Below are 25,231 nucleotides of genomic sequence, written 5' to 3' on the forward strand. Positions count from 1 at the left end.
GTGAAACTAAAAGTGGAGCAGAAACTGGAGCAGATTGGGAAGGTGCAGGGGGTGTGGCTGCACACTGCCCACGTCTTGTGCATGGAGGCCATCCTCAGCGTAGGCCTGGAGATGGGAAGCCACAACCCGGACTGCTGGCCACACGTGTTCAGGTGCATGACGGGCTCCCACCCCCAGATGGCACTAACCCTGCCTTGGGAAACCTGGAGTGGGCTGTGGCAGGTGGAGAGGGGTGGCCTTAAGAGCCTGCCAGCATGTAAATCAATTATAACAATTCACAGAGTTTGATTAAACTTCAAATGAGACGTGAAAAGAGAAGAGGGAATAAGGGCCCAACTGAATGTATGTTTTGAAGAACAGGGGACAGAACTGGGTCTGAGGAATTGTGACTTTTCTATTGACATTTTTATGAGAGAAGGAAGGAAGAAAAACCAATTAAATAATTGATTGAGATGACTAAGTGAATACTGTGCAAATCTAAAACTGGTCATGTCTCCTCAATATTACATTGCTATATGTTTATCAATGTCCTCTTTACTTAAAGAAGGATTTCAGATAGCTTATTTGCATACATAAAATACAAGATACCTACTTTTAATTTAGCTAGACTGAAACAAAACAAAACAAAACAAAAAATCGTACACCTCTGCCAAAGACAGGCCAAAAATTTAGCTCTAAGCATTGTAGCATCAAAGTGAAAAGAAACTCCCAGTGAGTTATATAGTGCACAGTGCCTGTAAGATGAAAACCAGCAATAGCTCCAGAGTCCAAGTCCTCTTACAACTAAGACTGAAAGCACGTCTCCCCAAGCATTGCATCAGGACAGACCCAGTACCGTGGAAGGAGCACTGCCCATGGAACAGGGCGGGGGCTGGCCACACTGTTCCTTCTCCTTCTCTGCAGCACATGCCTCACACTCACTCCAAACCCAGGTCTAGGCAGAGCAGGCATGGGGCAAGAGTGGCCAGGGCAATGGCCAATGGCCCAGGGCACCAGCCAGAGCTGGGTTCAGTTTCACGTCTTCAAAGCAAATATAGCCATGAGTGTTTGTTGAGCAAAATGGTTCTATTATGAAGGCTGCTGACCTGCTGCTCTTTATTGCTCTAACAAGAAAAGAAAAGAAAAAAGAAAATAAAAAGGCTCTCCTGGTACACAAGCAGCGGGTAAGGGATTGAAAAATTCCTTGATTCTAGAACATCAGAGTGGATTATCCATGATGCTCTTTACCAGTAAACAGACTTACTCCGAGATGAGGGACCTTGCGAACCATCTTCGTCCCAGGTTCTGTTGGGAACAAACCATTTAGGAGTTGGCAGTTGTAGCACATGTGGTGACCCTTCTCTGTGTCTGCCATAATTCGGTGACTGCCCTCCCACCCGGCCGCCACCCACCCCACCCAGACTTGAGTTATGTGGCGCCGTCGGGACCAGGCAGGACGTGGCTGGGCAGAACCCACTGTGGCTAGTTGGCCTCTCCGTCATAGGTATAGCCATTCTGGGATCCCATCGTAGGGAAACGCTTCCCAACTCCTAATCAGAGCACTATATGGAGGGAAAGAGGGTGCCTGGGGAAAAATGGCTCAAACAGCAGGAGGGCAGATAAGCCAGTAAGCCGGATGAGGCAGGGGGACTGGATGAACTGGGCTTCATTGCCCGTCTTTCTCCCAGCCTGGGGTGGGAGAACCCAAATAATCCTTTACCCATTTCAAGGCTGTCTGGTCCAACTCAAATACTACTAATAATAATGCTGTGTGACATGAGAACACAGGAGGGAAGGACTGACTGTCATCACAGGAAAGAGGAAAGCTGGGGAGCTTGCAGAGCTGGCTGCATTTCCTTTGTCTGGCACTGTGGGGTTTATGGAGCTGCCGGGGTGAGCTGCAGCGCCTAACAGCTGCTTGTCTGTGCTCTTTCTAGGGTGTGTGAATACGTGGGCACCCTGGAGCACAACCACTTCAGCGATGGTGCCTCGCAGCCCCCTCTGACCATCAGCCAGCCCCAGAAGGCCACTGGAAGCGCTGGCCTCCTTGGGGACCCCGAGTGTGAGGGCTCGCCCCCCGAGCACAGCCCGGAGCAGGGGCGCTCCCTGAGCACGGCCCCTGTCGTCCAGCCCCTGTCCATCCAGGACCTCGTCCGGGAAGGCAGCCGGGGTCGGGCCTCCGACTTCCGCGGCGGGAGCCTCATGAGCGGGAGCAGCGCGGCCAAGGTGGTGCTCACCCTCTCCACGCAAGCCGACAGGTGCGCGGCGCCGGCCTCCCACGCCCCGGGAGCCTGCTTACCAGGCGACACCCACATCCATCTGGTTTCAGTCATGCCAGGGACGACCCATTTGTTAGCCAATCACTTAAATCTCTTCCATCTTTTTCAAGCTTAGTTCTCTCTACCATTACATCCATACTTGGAATGAAACGTTTTCTACTAACACTGGAGGGTCTGAGGTAGGCCACCTGGGGTCAAAGCGCTGCGCTTACTCTGGGATCTCAGGCAACCTCACCTCCCTGGGCCCTGCCTGGCTTCTCCATTGGTAAAATAGGGTCATTTTTTAAAAGTAATTCTGTCACCGTGTAGTTGTGAGGGTAAATTAATTAGTAACTTGATGCACCTGGAGCGGAGCTTGGAAAATGGTAAAAATCCTCTATTATGATTATGGCTGTTTTCAAAAATCCCACATGCATGTGTTACTTATTGATGCCCAACAACCATGCGAGGGTGAAGAGGGAAAATCACCAATCGCCTCAACTGTTTGGTGGTACTTCCTGAGGTTGAAAGTGCTTTTGGTCACCAATCACACACAGTTCCACCTCACTTACCTCTTCAGTGTTTGGTCACTGTGTCCCAGACCCCCGGCACGGGCACAGGGAGGACCGTCAGGAAGGGGACAGGAGTGGGAGGAGCACTCCCTGGGCCAGGACTCAGATTGACCTGAGTTCCTGTCCTGACTTTGCACTCCCCAGCTGCCGGGTCATGTCTGTAGACATAGCTGCACTGAGGCTCAATTTCTCCAACTACTAACCCACTACCATAATTGCTTTTTGCTGCTTATCCAAGTTGGCTGTGAAAATGTTTTAGAATCTGGAAAGTAATATACAGGTGTCAGGTGGAATATAATATTCATCACTGTTTTCTTACTAGGAAGGAGGGAGGAGAAATGGTCAATAGGACCCAGAAACCAAATGGTATCAAAATTGGAAGTTACAAAATAGCAAGAAAAATATATTTGTTTCAATAATTTATAAATGTTTAATCCGCTAATTCCCATCTTAAAACTTGCGTGTCTCATTTTCCTCTTTCAAGAAGGACTCATGATTCCATTTCTATTAGAGACCCTCTCCCTGAAGCAGCTCATGGTGCCCCCACAGCACTGTTTGCCCTGCGGTGTCACTAGGCTTGGAGGGCAGATAGCAGGGTGACCCAAGAGCCATGGAAGGCTCACCTGGCACATTGCTCGTTGTGGCCTCATAAAACAGATATTTGATCTTTACCATTCTTCATTCCCGTGACCTTCAAATCCTCCCCTAAATTCTGCTACTGTGCTCCCCGCCTTCCTAAATCCTTCTGCTGGCAAGGTCTGTGCCCAGCTGAGTGGGAAAGAAAAAGAACCTGTAAGACCCATCATATTGGGGAACATTCTTTCTTCCAAATAGATACTTGAGTTCCCATCACATCCAGGCCTTTGGGTGTGTATGAGGCCAGTCCCCGCCCTGGAGGGGGGCTTACAGGATCTACTCTTAGCTGTTTTTGTATCTTTTCCAGCATTATACTCATAAATTATAGACAAACAAAACCTTATTCATTAATTTACTGGGGTTTTTTGACATCATTTATGAAATTGAAGCTAATTCTGAAGATTCCATTCCCAGTTACTCAGTTTCTGGGAACAACGCCTTGCCATCTTTCAGCTTCTTGCCAAGCATTTTATGAGTGCCTACCATAGCGGAGCTAGACCATGAGGGCACAAAGATATTTTTAAATATATTCTTTGTGCCTTTGAATTAAAATCTCACAGTTAGAGCAGACTTGTACACAGTTAGAATAGATAGAATAATACCATACATTTGTCTACAGTGTTTACACAGCATTTCCATTAATCACATCAACAAAATTACCATAATCATTCTGCCATAAAGACCTTGCTGAATTGTTTCCAAAGAACACATCTCTTTCTGTTTGCATCCAGGCTCTTTGAAGATGCTACGGATAAGTTGAACCTCATGGCCTTGGGAGGTTTTCTTTACCAGCTGAAGAAAGCATCGCAGTCTCAGCTTTTCCATTCTGTTACAGATACAGTTGATTACTCTCTGGCAATGCCAGGTAATTCTTTCCCTGAATAAACCATATGCCAGGAAGTTAGCAGGAAACAGCCCAGGCCTCTATCACCAGCAGCGTGCCTGAAGATTTGACTCCACATTCCCATTGCTTACACTCACACAAGCTAAGCCCAAGTATAGATTTGTCTCCAGATTTTGAGGCATCCTGTGTGAGGGGTGGTGTAACTCTTTGTGAATGGAAACGTTGCTGCTACCACATCTATAAGAACTCCCACTGGAGCTGGACTAGGTTGTTCTGCTAAGTTTTGTGCTTGTGGTAGAAATTGTGTGGCTCCTTAGGGTGCAGATAGCTTCCTTCACATGAGGGTGGAGCTTTTCTGCGTATCACAAACCACACCACACACCTCTGTCCAGCCAGTGGGACAGAGGTGGTTTGTGATATGCAGAAGCAACCACTAATTCCAAAAGGGGTGGTGAAAGAGGAAACTGCCTACCACTCTTGCAAAACTGATCTCAGAGGCATATCCCATTAATGATGGGTCAGTATCCCTGTTGTCTCCAATGAGGCCAGGTGAAGAAATAAGGCCCTCTTGAAGGCCAGTCTTGTGGAAGACAAAGTAGAGTTGTTCTGAATTGTCCAAGGGTCCCAAAGCATTGGCAGGTTGCTCATAGATGGAATTGTTCATCAAGAGCACAAGTGGTTGTCCTGAAACAGTGAGCACCTTGTCCCAGATGAGTTCAGGCAGAGACCGGGAGCCATGTGCTGGGGATGCACCTTAGTGACATGTTGGACTGCATAACCTCTGAGGTCCCTTCTATCCTTAGGAATCTAAAGTTCTAAGTGTAGTATATTTGATTTTTTCACCCTTGCTGCAGATTTAGATTTGAGAACCACAGTTGTTTCCCCACTAGTTTTTAATAGACTTTAAAACCTGAGCTATATAAAGCCAACCTCCCAGGCCCATAAGACTTTCAGAGAATCTCTGAGCCTGGGGGTAACCTTCAAAGTCTTTCGCATTGGAGAAAACAGTAGACTCTGAGCTTACAAAGAACACAATGAGCAGGGGCCAGGAAGGGTCGGTAAATCTAGAAAGAGGGAGACTTACTTCGGAATCAATCAGGTAGGAATATAAAATGCAGCCTCCAACACTCACCAGCCACAGCATCTGAGGCAAGTCATATCACCTTTCAGACATTCAATTTTCTACTCTGTAAAATAGCAATAATTATATTTTCTTCTTAAAAGAAAATATAGGCCAGGTGTGGCAGCTCATGCCTATAATCCCAGCACTTTAGGAGGCCGAGGCGGGCAGATCACCTGAGGTCAGGAGTTCGAGACAAGCCTGACCAATATGGTGAAACCCTGTCTCTACTAAAAATGCAAAAAAAAAAAAAAATTAGCCGGGTGTCATGGCATGTGCCTGTAGCCCCAGCTACTCGGGAGGCTGAGACAGGAGAATTGCTTGAACCCGGGAGGTGGAGGTTGCAGTGAGCTGAGATTGCACCACTGCACTCCAGCCTGGGCGACAGAGTGAGACTCCCTCAAAAAAAAAAAAAGAAAGAAAGAAAATATAATTGCTTTAAAAATTAAAGTTATTAAAGACTTACAGAACCAACACAGTGTCTGATGCAGGGTAAACATCCATGATTATTACAGGTTGAGTATCCCTAATCCAAAAATCCAAAATCCAAAACTTTTTAAGCACTGGCATGATGCCACAAGTGGAAAGTTCCACACCTGACCTCATGTGATAGGTCACACTGGAAATGCAGGCATGCAACACAGTTTATTGAGGGTCCCCAAGGGGTACAAAAATTGCCTTCAGGCTGTGTGTAAAGGTATATATGAAACAGAAATGAATTTTGTGTTTAGACTTGGGTCACATCCCCAGTAGGAAGCAGAGGAGAGGCAATAGGACATGAGCAGGGAGAGAGCGGGGAAGATGAAGGTTGTCACCTTCTTTGCCAAGAAGGTGGCAAACCCCGCCCCCCATAGTTTCTCACCCTAGTTCAAGATTAGGGCACCAAGAGAGCCCCGCCCTCTTGGCAAAGAAGTAGCCCAAGATCAGGGTAGGCAAGGATGGTACTAAAACAAGACAGAGAAGGCCAGACAGCATGTTACTGAGCAGCAGGGGGACCAGGCCTGCTTGGCAAAGGCTGCAGAGGTTTATTAAGGATTGGCAAAGTAGATGATGACAGTGAAAGGTGACAGTAACAAGAGTAATAATAATAGCTAAAAATGTTGGTCAGTTACTATGTGCTGGGCCCATGCTGAGCACTTTATGCGTATTATCACGTTTAATCTTTAAAGCAATTTTAGGAGTGGGCAGTATTATCCCCAGGTTTACAGATGAGATCATTAAAGAGGAAAATCTTTGGCCCAGTATAACACAACTACTAAATGGTGCCAGGATTCGAATCCAGACGGTCGGACTTCTCGGCCCTCCTACTGAACCGCTACCTCATTCCCTCTTATCATCAAGTTTTGATCATACCTGTCACGTCCCAGGTACCGGGGCTACAGTGGTGAGTGAGAGGACGATGCAGGCCTTGCTAAGTGAACCACCACATCCTTCTTGAATCCAGGGCTCCCTCCTCCCTTGGTTAGCCAATATCGAATTACCCTACTGGTCCTACCTAGATTTTCAACCTCTCTCTTTGCTTGAATAGGTCAGACTATGTCTGAGTTTTGGCTTTCTGGCATTTATGTTCTTGCCTTCCTGTAGGAGAAGTTAAATCCACTCAAGACCGAAAAAGCGCCCTCCACCTGTTCCGCCTGGGGAATGCCATGCTGAGGATTGTGCGGAGCAAAGCACGGCCCCTGCTCCACGTGATGCGCTGCTGGAGCCTTGTGGCCCCACACCTGGTGGAGGTGAGCACTGGGAAGGTGGGAAGAGGCTGGAACTGCTAAGTCAGTGACCAGCAGAGCCAGCATGGGGGCCTGCAGTCATGTATGGGGGCAAAGCACTGTGGCCATTGGGCAGTGGGAACTTGCCTATCACCTGGTCACAAACATCACTGTTTTCTGGTTATACCTCATGGCATCTAAAGAATCACCCCAAAGGGCAGTACTACCCTAGTCTCACTCTGACCCTCTTTCTTTGCAATTGTACAGCTCAGCTAGTTTTCATTTTTATGATCTGGTATCAACCTGAGCCTGGAACAGAAAGACTGTGGATGGTTCCTAATAGCTTTATTTTTATACATAAATATAACAATGTCTTTGGTTCCTACCAGTCCCTGTTTTCTAATAGCTAAATATACTCAGGACAGTGTCCTTTCAGTCAGGGAACCCTATGTCTTGGTTTTCCCAACAAAATTAATACTAAGACCCTTTCACTCTCCAAAGGAAAGCAGTTCGTGTGATCAGTTTTATGGCAGCTCTACATCTAAGCATCTCAATACATGAGGACTGGCCACTTCCAAGTTGACAGGGAAAACTGTTGCCCTGCTTTGCAGTGATAACTATTCTTAATAGCCCTTTTGCTTTTATCTGGTAGAGATAAATCATAAAATATTTCTTGGAACTTAAATTACTAACCTGAGAACATTCTAGTAAGCAAAATGGGTAGAAAATAGCAATGTAGTCATGGGGAAAAAGTCTATCAGTTATCTTTTACTCTACAATAAGGCCTCCCCAACATCTAGTGGCTTAAAACAACAACCATTTATTTAGCTCATGATTCCATGAGTCAGAAATTTGAGGTAGGCTTCTCTGGGTAGTTCTGGTGTTGGCCAGGGGTGGCAGATCTCACTGGCTTTAATTGTGTATCTATGGTCAGCTGGTGCAAAGTCTGGGGCCAGATGGTTCATGATGACCTTAACTGGGAAGGCTAGACAAATAGGTCTCTCTTTTCATGGTCTCTCATGTAGACTAGACTCCAGCAGACCAGCCCCAGCTTGTTCACGTGGCATTCTTAGGGTTCCAAAGAGCAACAACAGGGCAAACCCCAAATCACAAGTACTTTTTAATTCTGTTCTTACATGATGTTTGCTTGTGTTCCACTGGCCAAAGCAACTCACACATCCAAGCCCAGGGCCAGTACAGGAAAGGATTACTCAAGAGCATGGATACCAGGAGGTCTGTAAACCAATTAGAGCTACTGTGGCAATTTGTCCCTCACCTCACTGAGGGACAAATGACTCATCTGATCTTCCTACATGTGGGGCACAGCTCAGATGAAACTGTGAGCCATTCCTAGACTGGGTTCTGGTGTCTTTACAGTGAGCATGTTCTGTACCATTCAAGAAAACTGTCATGTTACAGAAAAAGAAATTACCGGAAACTTTCCTTTTTCTAGAAACATTAACATGAAATTGAGGTTGTACCTGATAAGCTGGTTGAATTGTTAAAAATGCAATTTAGTATGCAGTTTGTTTAGACTTATCCCTTAGAATGTTTTGATTTTAACAGAATTGCTGCTTCCACCTCCTTGTAATGAGGTGGGGTAGGAAAGCCTTCAGAAACCATTCTCACTGTCTGCTGTCCTGATGGTGAGCCACTCTCTCGTGAATTTTGCAGGCTGCTTGCCATAAGGAAAGACATGTGTCTCAGAAGGCTGTTTCCTTCATCCATGACATACTGACAGAAGTCCTCACTGACTGGAATGAGCCACCTCATTTTCACTTCAATGAAGCACTCTTCCGACCTTTCGAGCGCATTATGCAGCTGGAATTGTGTGATGAGGACGTCCAAGACCAGGTCAGTGTGACATGGTCATCAGCGTCATAGCTGGCTCTTACTGAGTGCAGTGGCAGGCACGGTTCTATGAGCTTCGCACACTTACTCTTTCCAATAATCCTATGTGGAATCTGTAACGGAGAAGTTAAGCAGGGCTGGGCGTGGTGGCTCACACCTGTAATCCCAGCACTTTGGGAGGCCAAGGTGGGCGGATCACGAGGTCAGGAGTTCAAGGCCAGCCTGACCAACATGGTGAAACCCCGTCTCTACTAAAAATACAAAAGTTAGCCAGGTGTGGTGTTGCACGCCTGTAACCCCAGCTACTCAGGAGGCTAAGGCAGGAGAATCGCTTGAACCAGGGAGGCAGAGGTTGCAGTGAGCCCAGATCAATCACGCCACTGCACTCCAGCCTGAGTGACAGAGCGAGACTCTGTAAAAAAAAAAAAAAAAAAAAAAAAAACAGAAAAGTTAAGCAATTTGACTAGACACATAATCAGTGATTGGTGGAGCTGGGATTTGAAACTAGGCAATTAAAAAAAAAACAGAAAAGTTTAGCAATTTGACTAAGGATACATAATCAGTGATTGGTGGAGCTGGGCTTTGAACCTAGGCAATCTGCTGGCCTATCTCTTTATACCTGGCCTATATTCCTAACTGCTGCCATACTGTCTACTGAAGGCAAGGTAAAGAAACTAACTGGAGACTTCGTATTTCACACGATGGTGGGCTAGAAATACAGGATCTCTCTCTCTGAAGTCCACCAAAAACGTTGAATAGAGGTTTAAACATTTCTTTTAAATACCTTGACACACTGGCAAGAAAGTAAGGAAGCCCCAAAACTGAGTGCCAATGGGAAGCCAGAGAAGTAAGCGGAGCCCTTAGGCTGGTTTTCCCGCGAGGGAATTTGCTAGCAAGTGGAGCAGAAGTTCTGGTCATCCCAGACGTGAGTGCACAGAAACAGAAAACAAATCTCAACGCAAACTTTACAAAGCTGGTGTTCAATCAGGCCAAGGTTGAATTAAAACAAACTTCCTGAGGATACTATCAGCTTGTTTCTAACATTGGCTCTTAATGGAAAGTTTTTTAAAAAGAGCACTCCAGGATTTATTATTACAACCTAGCCCTTTTATGTGATCTGTATATGAAATTACACCACCTCAGGATCTGAGAAAATACACAGGCACCATACAGAAGCAACAAAACTCCCCCGAGAGAAACTCATGTCAACTCAGGCTACAAAAGAATCCCACAAATAAAGTTTCAAGGTACGTGAGCTCTCAGTATTTTTAAAAAAGTCACAAAACACACAAGAAAACAAGGCAACGGAGAGAACTGATAAAACAACAGATAGTACAACTAGAACTATAAAGAATTGGATTGAAATATTGGTATCTTCCATGCAAAATATTAAATCACAAAGCCTAGTAAGTTTAAGGAAATAAAGGATTGAAATTATAAGTTAACACCTAAAGACTAGATTGTTAACACTTAAGATAAGTTAACACCTAGGTAACACCTATAGTTATCTCCTAGATAGTTAACACCTAGAAGTTAACACCTAAACGTTAGATCATTAACATCTAAGATAAGTTAACCTAGATAGGTTAACACCTAAGACTTTATACCAATAAGAGTGAACTAGGTAATTCAGATCAACTTTCTCACAGGGAACAACTAAAAAAAGTTGGATAAAAAAAATTTTAATCACTCGAAGACACTGACATACTATAGGGCAGTGAAGAACTACAAGGCCAAGATCTGGGAGAAAAAGAATACCCAGAGTAGTCTTCCTGGTATTTGAGGCTGTTTTTCCTAAAAATAGAATCTACTAATTTAAAAAAAGGAAGATATTGGGTTGGTGTAAAAGTAATTGTGATTTTTGCCATCACAGCAAAAACCGCAATTACTTTTGCACCAACATAATAAAAGACGGGGAAGCTCAGCAAAATTGCAGTCTGGGACCTCCCAAGTCTGGTAACTTCCTCGCATCTTGAGTCAGGATCTTGAGGCAAAAGGGACATCTTAGAAAGAAAGGTGAACCTTAAATAGATTAGTCATAAGAGAAAATAAACCCAACTTCAAATAATCCCAATCCCTGACATGAGATTAAGGTAATCTGAGATTTCTAGTGCCTTTCTGACAGAAGATTACATCATTCTATTAATAATCTTCAAATTATTTCTTGATTTGCAGGTGCAACGTTTGCATTCAATAAAAAATAACCAGGCTCATTAGGAAATAACATGTCATTGAAAACAAAAGTTTAAAAAACAAACAATAAACACACACAGGAACCCAGATATCAGAGTTATCAGAGACAGATTTTAAAATAACAGTGCTTAAATGTGTTTAGGAAGCTTAAGGACAGAAGCAGCTTTGGCTATGGTAACATGAAGAAGTTAGGTTAACCTTCCCCGCAAAAATCAAGCATAAAACAGGACAGGACAAAATTGTCCAAAGCAACCATCTGAGGGGTCTGGAAATTGACCAAAAGCAGACAACAAATTGAGTAGCATTTATTCTTAAAAACAGTGTTTGCTAGAACTTTGGTTAAGAATAGTGGGAGTCTGACTTCCTTGACAAAGACTGAAGCCATCACCTTTACTCCCAAGCTCTATTGGCAAGAATAGTAGTTTGACCAGCGTGAGGCTGACTGAGACAATCATCAGCTTTTCTACCATCAGGGACAGACTTGGTATGGAGAAGAGTGGGGAGAAGACCATTGGCTTGTCAATTACAAGTGATGAATTCATGGAGAAATGAACAGGGGAATCCTCAATCTTGCTTGCCTAAAGTTTGTAGTGAGTAGTGTACTAGCAAGAAATCTAACATAAGATCCTGGATATCAGAGATTCATAGAGGGACCAGATAGTCTGTTCACACATCCCTGGATGACTGAAACATGGGCATGTACAGGGGAGATTGTAAAGATCTCATCAGAAAATAAAAGGGAGATAAAAACTGGCTGAACTTTGAATATTCTGGCCAACCTTCTCACACAGATTGATTGCCAGAGGGTAGGAACCTTAAAGACTCAAGGTGTTTGAGCATAGTTTCCACCCACATGATCAGCTGACTACTAAGCTATGCAGACATGAGGATGAACACTAGGGAGTCAGGCTAAAAAATAAAAATGAAGAACAAAAACTGAGCAGACACATGAGCGCCATGGGAAGAGACAGATTCCATAGACTTAGTCTGTGGAATTCCAAGCACCTTAGTCTGGGGGGAAAAAAACCCTCAAAAATAAATTAGAATCCAGCACTGCTACAATATATTATCTAAAATGTCTAATTCTCAAAAATATGAGTGATGCAAAGAAACAGGAAACAGTGAAACACAGAGGAAAAAACAGTGACTAGAAACTGACTTAAGAGTAAGCCCAGATGTATTTGGGAGCCAGAGCCTTCAAAGTAGCTATTAAATATGTTCGAAAAAATTAAGGGAAAATATGACAATGACTCAAAAATAAGGACTCTAAATATAGAAATGGGAGCTATAAAAATGTAAATTTTAGAGTTGAGAAGGGCAATAACTGAAATGAAAAATTAGCTATACGGGCTTACCAGAAAGAGATGGCAGAAGAAAGATCAGTGAACATGGAAATAGATTAATAGAGATTATCTATTCTGAAGATCAGACAAAACTAAGTTTGACCAAAAATAAACAAAGCCTCAGAGATTTGTAGAACAATGTCAAGCATACCAACATACCTGTAATGGGAGTCCCAGGTAGAAAAGAGAAAGACAAACAGATGGGAAAATATATTTAAAGAAATAGTGGAACCCCAATTAAGATCAACACAAAGATATCTACAATAGACACGTTATAGTCAAAATGCTCGATGACAATGACAAAACCTTAAAAGCTGCAAGAGAAAGACTACATTACTACAGAGGAACTAATGCTAGGATTAATGCTAGGATTAACTAATGCTGACTTCTTCAGAAAGAATGAAGGCTAGAAGACAATGTAATGACATATTTAAAGTGCTGGAAGAAAAACTGTCAATGGATAATCCTAGAGAAATTACTCTTCAAAAATGAAGATGACATAAAAACATTCTCAGATAAACACAAATTTGGAGAATATCTTGCCAGTAGACCTGTTCTACAAGAAATACTAAATTCCTTTAAGCTGAAAGAAATAACACAGACTGGTAAATCTATTGCATAAGAAGAAATGGTACATAAGTGGGAAAATATAAAACAGTGTGTGCATTTTTCCCTTTCTCCTAATTTATTTCAAAAACCTAACGTTTAAAGCAATAACTCTAACACTGTATTGCTGGATTTATTAAACATGAAGATGTAATATAAATAACATTAGCAGAAAGGAGGGATGGGAAATGGAGCTATATAGAAGCAAAGTTGCTGTATTTTGCCAGAATTAGCTCAGTATTAACTTGAGGTACAAATGTGATCAATTGAAGATTCATGTTATAATCCCTAGGGCAGCAACCAAGAGAATAACACAAAAAGATTAAAAAATAAACATGAATGAAAGTGATCACAAAAAAAATGTGTTTAACATAAAAGAAGGTAGTAAAAGAGGAACAGAGGAACAAAAAGGATGTGATATGTAAATATGCAGAAAACATATAGCAAATGCCAGATGTAAATAGAACCATGTCAATAATGGCATTAAATATGCACTAATGAAAGGATGGTCAGCATCATTAGTCATTAGGAATATGTAAATCAAAACCACGTGAGATACTATTTCACATCTACTAGGATAAAAAAGATAGATAATAGCGGCCAGGCACAGTGGCTCACTCCTGTAATCCCAGCACTTTGGGAGGCCAAGGCAGGCAGATCACGAGGTCAAGAGATGGAGACCATCCTGGCTAACATGGTGAAACCCTGTCTCTACTAAAATTACAAAAATTAGCTGCGTGTGGTGGCGCACGCTGTAGTCCCAGCTACTCGGGAAGCTGAGGTAGGAGAATCACTTGAACCCAGGACTAGACCTGTAGTCCCAGCTACTCGGGAAGCTGAGGTAGGAGAATCACTTGAATCTGGGAGGCAGAGGTTGCAGTGAGCCAAGATCGTGCCATTGCGCCCCAGCCTGGAGACAGAGTGAGACTCCGTCTCAAAAAAAAAAAAAAAAAAAAAAAAAAAAGATAATAGCAAGTGTTGGTGAGGGAGGAGGTGGAGACATTGGAACCTTCATGCCCTACTGGTGAGAGGGTAAAATGTGTGGCTGCTTTGCAGGCTGACAGTTCCTCAAGGGGTATATAACCGAGAGAAATGAAAACATCTATACAAATCCTGTACACAAATGTTCATAGTAACATTATTCATAATAGCCAGAAAGTTAGAAACAACTCAGATTCCAACAGCTAATGAATATATACATTAAATTAGGTTATGTCCACAGAATGAAATATTATTCTGCAATAAAAATGAAGTACTGATATATGTACGACATGGATGAATCTTGAAAACATTACATTAAATGAGAAAAGCCAGTCACCAAAGACCATATGTTATATGACTACATTTATATGAAATGTCAGAATAGGAAAATCTATAGTGACAAAAAGTACATTAGTGGTTGCCTCAGGCTGAGGGTGGGGTGGTGGAGTAGGCAATGACTACAAATGGGTACTGCGTTTTTTGAGGGGGTAAGTAAAATTATTTTTAAATTAGATTGTGGTGATGTTTGCACATTAAAGGCCTATTAACCTCATAAACTTGTCATTAGTCTTTGAAGAAAAAATATGTAAAAGAAAAATGTATGTATACATAATGTAAGAATTTGTCTCTAAAGCAGCGCTTAAAATTCTTTGGAAAAGTTTGACAAGGTATATCACGTGAATTCAGATTCATCTTAAAGAATTATGCTTAGACAGGAAAAAGGAAACTTATTTTGGTCTCAAGTAGAAAAATATATTGCTTTGAGTTTTATGTAGGTTTAGACTTTTAAAATGTTAGAATTGATTCTTACTATAAGTGATTTGTGAAATTACACCTTTGGTTTGATCACCGGTGATTACAGTGTTATTCTCATACCTTTGTGTATTGAACTATTTCCAGAACCAAGCTTATGTAGATCCTGAACAGTAATATGAGAATGTGATTAGTATTTGTCACCTTTATTTTAAAACTAGCATCTGAACACTTCAAAGCTGTCAATGTGGATTGGTTAGACCAATAATCTCTGCTTGATCCTTACAATTAAATTTTGCAACTAATAGTATTGTTCTTTCAAACAGGTGACATGTTTTCCATGACTGTTATGGCGGGGGCAATAATTAAATCAGTTCTTGTTTAACAAATTGAATAAAGCAAAGTTTCATAAATTAAAAAAAAAAAAAACCTTCCCACAATAACCCAAGCCCTGTTGGTTTCACTGGTGGATCTATAAACTAAGGATGAAATAATATCAACCCTACTCAAGCTCTACCAGAAAATAAAGCAGGAAGGAACACCTCCAAACCCATTTTATGGGGCCTGCGTTTCTGTGATACCAAAGTCTCAAGAAGGAAAACTATAGACCAATATTCTTTATGAAATTAGACAAAAAAAAAAAATCCTTTAAAAATTATTGGCCAGGCACAGTGGCTTACACCTGTAATCCCAGAATTTTGGGAGGCCACAGCAGAAGGTTTGCTTGAGTCTAGGAGTTCGAGACCATGCCAGGCAACACAGTGAGACCCCCATCTCTACAAAAAAAAAGTATATATATACATATAGCTGGGTGTGGTGATGCATGCCTGTAGTCCCAGCTGCTTAGGAGGCTGAGGTGGGAAGATTCCTTGAACCCAGTAAGTTGAGACTGCAGTGAGCCGTGATCACATGCCACTACATTCCAGCCTGGACAACAGAGTGAGACCCTGTCTCAAAAAAAAAAAAAAAAAAGCCAAATAAACCCAGTAACATATAAAGAAGATTAAACATTGTGGCATATGGAATTTATCCCAGCAATGTAAGAGTGGTTTAACAGCTCAAAATCAATTAACAATTAGTAGACTAAAAGATTAAAACCACGCAATCATCTTAATAGATATAGACAAAACATTTAACAAAATTCATCACCCATTTTTGACAAAACCTTTTAAGAAAAGAGGAATTAGAGGGATTTCCTCCATGAGATAAGGGGCATCTTTGAGAATCCTACATCTAACATCACACTTAATGATGAAAGACAGTGTTTTTCTCTTGTAATCAGTAATAAGATGAGGATTTCTGTCTTCTCTATTTCTGCTCAACATTAACTTTTGCTCATTGTATAAAGAAATTAAAGACATCAAGGTTTGAAACGAAAAGTAAAGCTGTTTTAGTTCACAGACAACATAGGGTTGTATATAGAACATTATATGGGATTTGCAAAAAAATTCTAGTCGAGCAAGGTCACTGCATTCAAGATCAACATACTAAAATCAACTGAATTTATATATATGAGAAATAAATTATCCAAAGATAAATAAGAACAATTCCATTCATAACATCAAATATGATAAAATATTTATGAGTAAATTTAGCAAAAGAAGCTCAAGACCTGTACACAAAAGCTACAAAACATTGCTGAGAGAAATTAAAGAAGATTCAAATAAATATGAGATATGCCATATTCATGGATTGAAAGACTCAATATTTTTAAAATAGCAAATCTCCCCAAATTGATGTATAGATTCAGCGCAATTCCAATTAAAATCCAAGCAGACCTTTTTGAAGAGATCATCAAAGTGATTCTCAAATTTATATGAAACTGCAAAGAACAGAATAGAGAAAACAAACTTGAAAAAGAAGGACAAATTTTGAAAATTTACACTACCTGATTTCAAAATTCCAGTAATAAACACAGTGTGGTATTGGTTTGAAGGCAGACCTATAGTTCAGTGGAACTGAAGAATATAGAAATAAATTATCCTGTTTATAATCAATTGATTTTTGATGAAGATACCATTGCAATTCAATCATGGGAGGGGATATTTTCAGCAAATTGTGCTTGAATGTATATGATAAAAATAAACTTACACCTTTACCTCTCACCATGCTAAAAAAAAAATTCAAAATGGGTCATGATGTGATCCATTAAAAGAAAAATGGATGAAATGGACTTCACCAAAATTAAGAACTTTTAATCTTGAAAAGACACCATTAAAAAGTAAAACTTTTAAAAAGTCCAAAGCTGTGGAAAAATATTTGCAAATTATATCTTGGGAATATATAAGGAACTCTAAAAAAAAAAAAAAAAAAGAAAATAACAAGAAGACATGAACCCAATTTTTAAAAACAACAAAATATTTGGCTAATAAGATGTGAAAAGTTGCTTTGCAGCATTAGTCATTAGTGAAATGCAAATTAATACAATACGGCTGATTATTCAGAAGATTTTTGAGTGAGTTTGTCTATTCTGGTTTTTCCTTTTCACTAAAATTAACTCCAAAATAGGGGACAGAGAAATACATCACCCTTCCCAGAAATTCTGCTCCTTTTAAGGAGAGGGCTTTAAGTGCCACTTGCTTTGCCTCTACCAGGTTGTCACATCCATTGGTGAGCTGGTTGAAGTGTGTTCCACGCAGATCCAGTCGGGATGGAGACCCTTGTTCAGTGCCCTGGAAACAGTGCATGGCGGGAACAAGTCAGAGATGAAGGAGTACCTGGTTGGTGACTACTCCATGGGTAAGAATGTTTGGATGATTCTTGCTATTCAGCATTAATTCTCTGTGCCAAGTTTCATGCTATTAAAAAAAAAAAATTGAACAATAGGGAAGACAGATTGTCAGCCATGTTTTATCAGCAGGAAAGAATGTGGTGTAGCAGGAACATGAGTCCTGAGTTCTGCCAGCAGGCTGAGAGCCCTGAGCATTGTCAGGCCCTGTTCTTGCTGACAATTGGACAATAAGGCTGAGAGACTTCTGTTGTTTCACTTACACATTGCTGTGTTGAGTTCACGTCTAAAGCCAAAAAGAAAAATGTTATCCATTTGCTAGTAAGAAGCAGAAAAGTATCATAACACAGAGTAACCAGAATTAGGGAGATTCGGTCTGCTGGAAATGGATGGGTACCCATAAAGCATGCCCAGGGCCCAGGGGTGTTGTCTCAGAGGTTCCCAAGACCACCCCTAAACTCAGAAACCCACCAGAAAGACTCATGGGACCCAGCATATAGTTATGTTGAGATTTATTACACAGCTCGTGACTAAGTTTTAGCAACGTAGGAAGGACACAACAGGTTATGACACAGACAGAGTCTGGAAGAATCTATGCACCAGCTTCCCTGTGCTCTCGCCCTCCCAGGAGGGATCACACAGAAGACATTCTTCCCCCAGCAGTGAAAACACAGCAACATGTTTGCAATGTTTCTGCCTGTTGAAGCCCATTAGAGATCTAGCTGGGGACTGGCCACTTACATACCCTTTGCCTAGCACATTACCAAAATCCCAGACTCCCAACAGGAAAGCAGGTGTTCACCATAAACCGTATGGTTTGTATGAACAGTCTAGGCACGGTGAACTACTCTTATCAGTTAACTGTGGCCTGGGAGTACTCTGAGAGCTGAGTTCCCAGACACCCGCCAAAGGCCAATTTTGCAAGCAAGCTTTCTAAAAGAAAAGTGGTCTCAGGCCTTCTGTGCTCTTTTTCTGCATAGATATAAAGAAACTCATATATGCCACCAAAGGTCTATCTAAACCTGCCCTGCTGTGCCCTGTAGATAATCTACAAATACCTGTGCAGGAGCATTCCAGAGGCCACATGGTTCCCTGCTCTATAGACCAGCACATTGCCTCAGCTCTGCACTCGGCCAGCTCAGCCCTCATCTCTCTGCCGAGCTGCTCCCCTGCCGGCAGAGCTGAGCACCATGCTGGAGCCAAGCCAATGGCCCAATAAAAAACCCAGGCATCTCCCCAGTAGATCTTTCTCAAGATCTGTCTCAGTGGAACGTGCTGGGAATATGGGCAACCCTGGCAAACCCGAGGGCAGAAACTTACTTTCTTACAATTCTATAATCTTCCTCCCTTAGGAAAAGGCCAAGCTCCAGTGTTTGATGTATTTGAAGCTTTTCTCAATACTGACAACATCCAGGTCTTTGCTAATGCAGCCACTAGCTACATCATGTGCCTTATGAAGTTTGTCAAAGGACTGGGTAAGCAGAACCCTTCTCTCATGCCTTGTAACTGCTGAGGACCCTTTCCAGGGTGGCTCTGTGGCTGGAGACAGGGCCTACTGACTGTCTGGAACAAGCACGCATCCTGGGGTACAAGCAGATGGTGGTGTTGTGTACTCAAAAGCAAAAACTTACTGTGAAAGAAGCTTGAATTTTGTGTAAGGTTGATACTTTTCATTGTATTCATGGAATATCTTATAGCATATTTTTAATCTATTTATTTATTATTTTATACTAACTTTATTGTCAAAGAATAATATCAACCTTGTATTTTCCCTTTGTAAAAGGTTCTCGGGCTCCAGGTCTAATCACACTCTATGGAAACTCTCAAAATTTTAAGTTTCTTCTAAACCTTTTGGTTTAACTAAGTGTCCTTCCCTTTCATTTCACCCTACATAAACCTGTGCTATATAAAAATCTCCTATTGCAGGTCATGTTGTATAGTGAGAATATATTTTGTTAAGGTGTTTCTAAATTAAGTATAAAATCATCTGGGTAGTTTCTGAAATACACGAGGCTTTCAAGAAGGGGGACTTCTATACTTAGAAAATATATTTTATAATTAATTAAGCCTGGGGTAGGAGGAATTCTTAACTTTTGCTAAAAAGTTGGGAAATCAAACTCAAGCTGCTAATCATATGACACTGAGAATAGGTTTCTGCATAAGGGCAATTATTTAATATAATATTGACTAATCTAAGGTTGGAAATCTTAGAACATTCCTACAATTATGGAGGCTGAGAAGTCCCACGATAGACCATCTGCAAGCTGGAAAACCAAGGAAGCCGATAACATGGCTCAGTTCAAGTTCAAAGGCCTCAGAATGAGGGGCACTGATGGTGTAACTCTTAATCCAAAGCCAGAGGCTCGAGAACCTGTAGTTCTAAGACAAGAGAAGGATATCCCAGCTCCAGAGACAGAGACACAGAGAATTCTCCTTTTCTCTGCCTTTTGTTCTCCTGGGCCTTGGCTGATTAGATGGTGTCTGCCTACACTGGGTGAGGGTGGAGCTCCCTTACTCAGTCTGATTCAAATGCCAGCCTCTTCCAGAACCAACCTCACAGACACACCCAGAAATCATGCTCTATCAGTGATCTGGGTCTCCCCTAATCCAGCCAAGTTGACATCTAAAATAAACCATCACATAGAGGACATTGAAAACAGCCTGTGTTTTCTTCTGTGAATTCTAAAGTGGAATTATTTGTTTGGGGCCTGGGATCAGTGGAAAAGGCAGAGCCCCTTGTATAGTCATGGTGCCTGTGTCCTGCCTGGCTCCAGGGAGTGCCATTCACATAGACTTGGATGCGTTCAAATACACAGCGGCCACAGTCTAAATTTTGGGACGCCTGCTGTAATCGTGGATAGGAAATGAATTTATTGTTAATTCCCACCTGCTTATTTCAACATGAATTTGACCTGGTCTGTGTTTTTATATTATAAAATGTGTTCATCTAAACCAGGATTTGGCAAGCTATGGCCCACAGTTTTTATAAATACAGTTTTATTAAAACATAGCCATGTTCATTTGTCGATGGCTGCTTCCATACTACCAGGCAGAGTTGAGCGGTTGCAATAAAGACAGTATGACCTGCAAAGCCTGAAGTATTTACTCTCTGGCCCTTTGCCAAAAACATTTGCTAACCCTTGCTCGAAAACCTAAGAAATGTTTTTTGTTTTTTTTAAGGAGAAACATGCCTCTTTGCTTCTGAATTTTAACTAATGCCTAGTAATTAGGTCTGTTTACTCACATGGGAGGGTTCTAGCTCTTACAATTGTAGACAATTAGAAACAATTACAGTACATGAAATGATTTGATTAAATGTATAGAAATAGATTCGAGAAGAAAAATTATAATAATTCAGTTACACTCTTACAGAAAAACCTAGATACCGCTCTACAGACATGTTAAATCTCTAGATATGTACAAAAAATAGAAAAATCATTTAAATGCAATTAAGTAGTCTCTGTCCCTAAACCCCAGATGTTTAGACTCTTCCCAGAGACCTCATTTATCATCAGCATTTAGTGCCACGCACTGGCAGGGAAAGAAATCCTTTTCCAAATGGAGAGAGAGAAGCGCTTCATTCCAGCCCAATCCAGGACTTGTCTCTGGGATTGTCCTTTGTCATCAAAAGTCACTCCATCCAACAGCAGGTCCCAGAAATGTCATTTACCATGTGCCCATGTACAAAGGAACACCATCCAGCCACTGAAAGTACTGTGGTAGAAGAGAGAGGAAATGTTGATTGTTTAGTGGAAGGGTGAGTTACCAACCATATAATCTCAACAAAATGATAGGAAAGGTATGGTCCCAACTGTATTTAACATGTGCACATGCAGCTGGGAGAATGGCTGAAAGGATTTTCCTCAGGGTTGTGCAATTTGGAGTCATTTTTCTCCTTTTCTCCCACTCTCTTTTAATAGATATTTGGTGTACTAGTGCTATGTGAGTAAACAGGTCTCCTGTTACAGGGGGGCACGCAAGGGTAACACTGTTGGTCTCTGTCTCCCGTGCCGCCCCTAGGGGAGGTGGACTGTAAAGAGATTGGAGACTGTGCCCCAGCACCCGGAGCCCCGTCCACAGACCTGTGCCTCCCGGCCCTGGATTACCTCAGGCGCTGCTCTCAGGTAGGGGAATGGTCCAGCTGGGCTCCCGGCCTGGAAACCTGCCTCGGAACATGCTGCCAAAACATGCGTGGGGGGTCTTTTGCTGAAGCCCGAGAGAGACACTTTGCCGTCTGAGGAGATTGGGGCGCAGATGTGGAGTATACATTTTTGTCCCTCCTTTTTCCATGAAGGAAAGAAAATAATGAAAACATACTAGAACCCACAATTGGATGCTGAGGTCTCTGAAACTTTTCCCTCACGCTCAGATGCCTGAACTACTGGAATCTCTATATTTGCATGAGGTTTTAGGGGAAGGGGTCACTAGGTCATGAGAAGTCTTCCTGAGGGCACCAAAAAGTGGAGGACAGGGGTGCAAGCAGTGAAGAGGGACATTAATAAAAGAAAGACATGCTCAGTCAAGATCATCTAGCAGAGATGGGTGGATTACCTGAGGTCAGGAGTTCAAGACCAGCCTGGACAACATGGTAAAATCCCGTCTCTAGTAATAATACAAAAACTAGCTAGGCGTGGTGGCATGCGCCTGTAATCTCAGCTACTGGGGAGGCTGAGGCAGGAGAATTGCTTCAACCCAGGAGGTGTAGGTTGCAGTGAACTGAGATCATGCCATTGCACTCCGGCCTGGGTGACAGAGCAAGACTCTGTCTCAAAAAAAAATTTTTTTTAATCTAGTAAAGAGAATAAAACAGCACTTGTCAAAGTGAGCAGTGACCATCGTTGGGTCCATCCTCTGCCTGACACCATGCCCCCTCCCTGAGGCCGTTTGTCTCTAAGCTTCAGTGACACCCCTCTCTCAATATTTTCTCACCTGTCTTCTCAGGTGGTGTCCCTGGATCTCTTTGGGGATCTATGTACAACCTCTTCCTGGGTGATAGCATTGAGCCCATGGCTTTAAAAGGGACATGCGGCCCTGGCTTCTCCATCCAGCTGCCTCCCCCAGGCCCCATATGACGCGACCCCTGCCCGGCTCCCTTTCCACCCTCACATCCTTCCCTCTTACTCACAGTGCTATAGCTACGCTGAGCTTCTGCCCTCCCGGAAATACACCTGCTCACTGCTGTGCAGGGCCATCTCTGCTTCCTCTGCTGGGACTCTCTCCCCAGATTCTAGGTGCCACTCTTTATCTCCCAGATCTAATCTGAAACGTTACCTCCTCAGAGCACAGGGCTAAAGGATCTGCCAATTCCTGCCAAGATCCCCCACTTTTTTGTTTGTTTGTTTGTTTGCACAGTTGCTCTGTTGCCCAGGCTGGTGTGCAGTGGCATGATCTCAGCTCACTACAACCTCTGCCTCCCAGGTTCAAGCGATTCTCCTGCTTCAGCCTCCCGAGTAGCTGGGATTACAGGCATGCGCCACCACACCCAGCTAATTTTTGTATTTTTAGTAGAGACGGGGTTTCGCCATGTTGTCCAGGCTGGTCTTGAACTCCAGATCTCAAGTGATCCGCCAGCCTCGGCCTCCCAAAGTGCTAGGATGACAGGCATAACCCACCAGGCCCAGCCTTCACTATTTCTAGTACCACCTGTTTAGTTTTTCCTGTAGCATTTATGTCTGGAATTTGATTATTTTAGAAAGGATTGTAGTTGGTGAGACCCACCAGAACAGGAATTTTGTCTGTTTGCTCACAGCCCTGGTTCCTTGAACAATGTGGGCATGGCAGGATTCTAATTAATTCATTAAGACATAAGGATCTTTGGAAGTCTGTCCCAGTAACAGAGAGCTCACGGGTGCCTGGGCGCTAGTCCCAAGAGGGGACTAAAGAACCCAGGCCACTCTGCTGGCTCTGCTTCTGAGACCTTCCTCTCTCCCTCCTGGTCCCAGCCTCCTTCATTTCTCCAACTGCTCTTGCCCCTGTGTTTCTTCAGAGGTTGAGTCAAGGGAAGGAGAAATCAGAGTCTGGTATCTCATTTGCCTGTGGACTGTCTTCTCAGTGAGCCCCACAGAACACTTATTCGCTTAGGCAAAAATTCTGGACATGTTTCATGGTTCCTTCGGTAGGTTTATAAAAGTCTATAGAACTCATATGTAATTAAGATACTGAACAATTATCCATAGGATCCTTTTTCCCTCTACTTTTTTGTTGCCATTGTATGCTATTTCATCTGCTTCATGGGATAGATGCCTCTTGTAAGCTACCCTTATAAATCCAAATCACGAATAATCAAATTTTCAATGTCTAGTTTCCCATCTCCTTTTAGTACTAGTGTATAATTTCATTATTCTTTAAAACCCACAATGCAGCTTTTTCCAACATATAATTGCAGTTTGTCTTTTTATTTTAATTTAGTTATTGGCCAAAATCTACAAAATGCCCTTGAAGCCAATATTCCTTAGTGGGAGACTTGCCGGCTTGCCTCGAAGACTTCAGGAACAGTCAGCCAGCAGTGAGGATGGAATTGAATCAGTCCTGTCTGATTTTGATGATGACACCGGTAAGCTAATTGATTGGACTAAACTAGGTTATTTGCTGTGTTCATATTCCCAGAAGCTTAAGTCATAAATGAAGTACCTTAAGCTTCTGGGAATTGTCTTAGTCCATTTTGTGCTGCTATAAGAGAATACTTGAGAGTGATAAATAGCAGATTTATTTCTTACAGTTCTGGAGGCTGAGAAGCCAAAAGTTGAGGGGCTTGCCTCTGATGAGGGCCCTCTTGCTGTATCATCCCAAGAGGAAGGGCAAGAGAGCACTCAAGGAGTTCAGGGTGGTGGGGAGAGGCAGGGGGACCAAAGTCATGCTTTGATCAGGAACCCACTCCCAAGATACTAACTCACGTTCATGATAACAATATTAATCCATTCATGAGTACAGAGCCCTCATGACCTAATCACCTCTTAAAGGTCCCACCTGTTAACACTGTTGCATTATGGATAAAGTTTCCAACACATGAATGTTGGGGGACACATTCAAACCATAGCATTCCACTCTGGCCCCCAAAATTGAGGTTCTTCTCACATGCGGAATACATTAATGCCATCCCAATAGTCCCAAAGCCTTAACTTGTTTCAGCACCAACTCAAGAGTCTCATCTAAATCAGGTACAGTTGAGACCAAAGGCATGATTCATTCCAAAGCAAATTCCTCTCCAGCTGTGGGCCTGTGAAATTAACAAATTGCATGCTTCCAAAATACAATGGTAGGAAGGCATAGGATAGACATTCACGTTCTAAAGGGGGAGAAATAGGCAAGACAGGAGCAACATGCCCCAGGTGAGCCCAAAAACACAGCAGAGCAGACATTAAATTGTAAGACTCCAGAATCATCTTTTACTGCACTTGCCATGAACATGTGAACTTCGGGGGAAATATTCAAACCGTAGCATAGATCATAAGAATGAGCATCTATTTTTGTAGTTATTTTTTATAATTCTATCACAATAAGTCTGCTTAAAGTTTCCATGGACTTTCCAAAAACATCACTTTACAATGGATGCCTCTATACCCATCCTTTTAAAATGGATTCCTCTGTCTAAAACTACTGCAAATTTGCAGATTCCACTTAAGTAGTTTCTAACTCTCAATTCTCTTGACTTTAGCAAATTG

The 25,231-nt window shown here is 42.3% G+C and overlaps 1 protein-coding gene across 3 annotated transcripts in view; it reads left to right on the forward strand.

Moving 5' to 3' along the window:
- Nucleotides 1–25,231, forward strand: part of ARFGEF3 (ARFGEF family member 3) — a 182,725-nt gene that overhangs the window by 127,878 nt on the left and 29,616 nt on the right. For all 3 annotated transcript variants that reach the window (XR_001743524.2, NM_020340.5, XM_047419108.1), the window contains 9 exons: nt 2–152; nt 1,917–2,237; nt 4,177–4,310; nt 6,994–7,139; nt 8,790–8,969; nt 17,437–17,581; nt 18,923–19,045; nt 21,591–21,694; nt 23,979–24,123. Coding sequence is in view for 2 of the 3 variants with exons in the window: in NM_020340.5 (NP_065073.3) it covers nt 2–152; nt 1,917–2,237; nt 4,177–4,310; nt 6,994–7,139; nt 8,790–8,969; nt 17,437–17,581; nt 18,923–19,045; nt 21,591–21,694; nt 23,979–24,123 (1,449 nt within the window). In the remaining variant the exon portion in view is untranslated. The remainder of the gene's footprint in view (nt 1; nt 153–1,916; nt 2,238–4,176; nt 4,311–6,993; nt 7,140–8,789; nt 8,970–17,436; nt 17,582–18,922; nt 19,046–21,590; nt 21,695–23,978; nt 24,124–25,231) is intronic.

Source organism: Homo sapiens, chromosome 6, assembly GCF_000001405.40.
Source record: "Homo sapiens chromosome 6, GRCh38.p14 Primary Assembly".
NCBI lineage: Eukaryota > Metazoa > Chordata > Mammalia > Primates > Hominidae > Homo > Homo sapiens.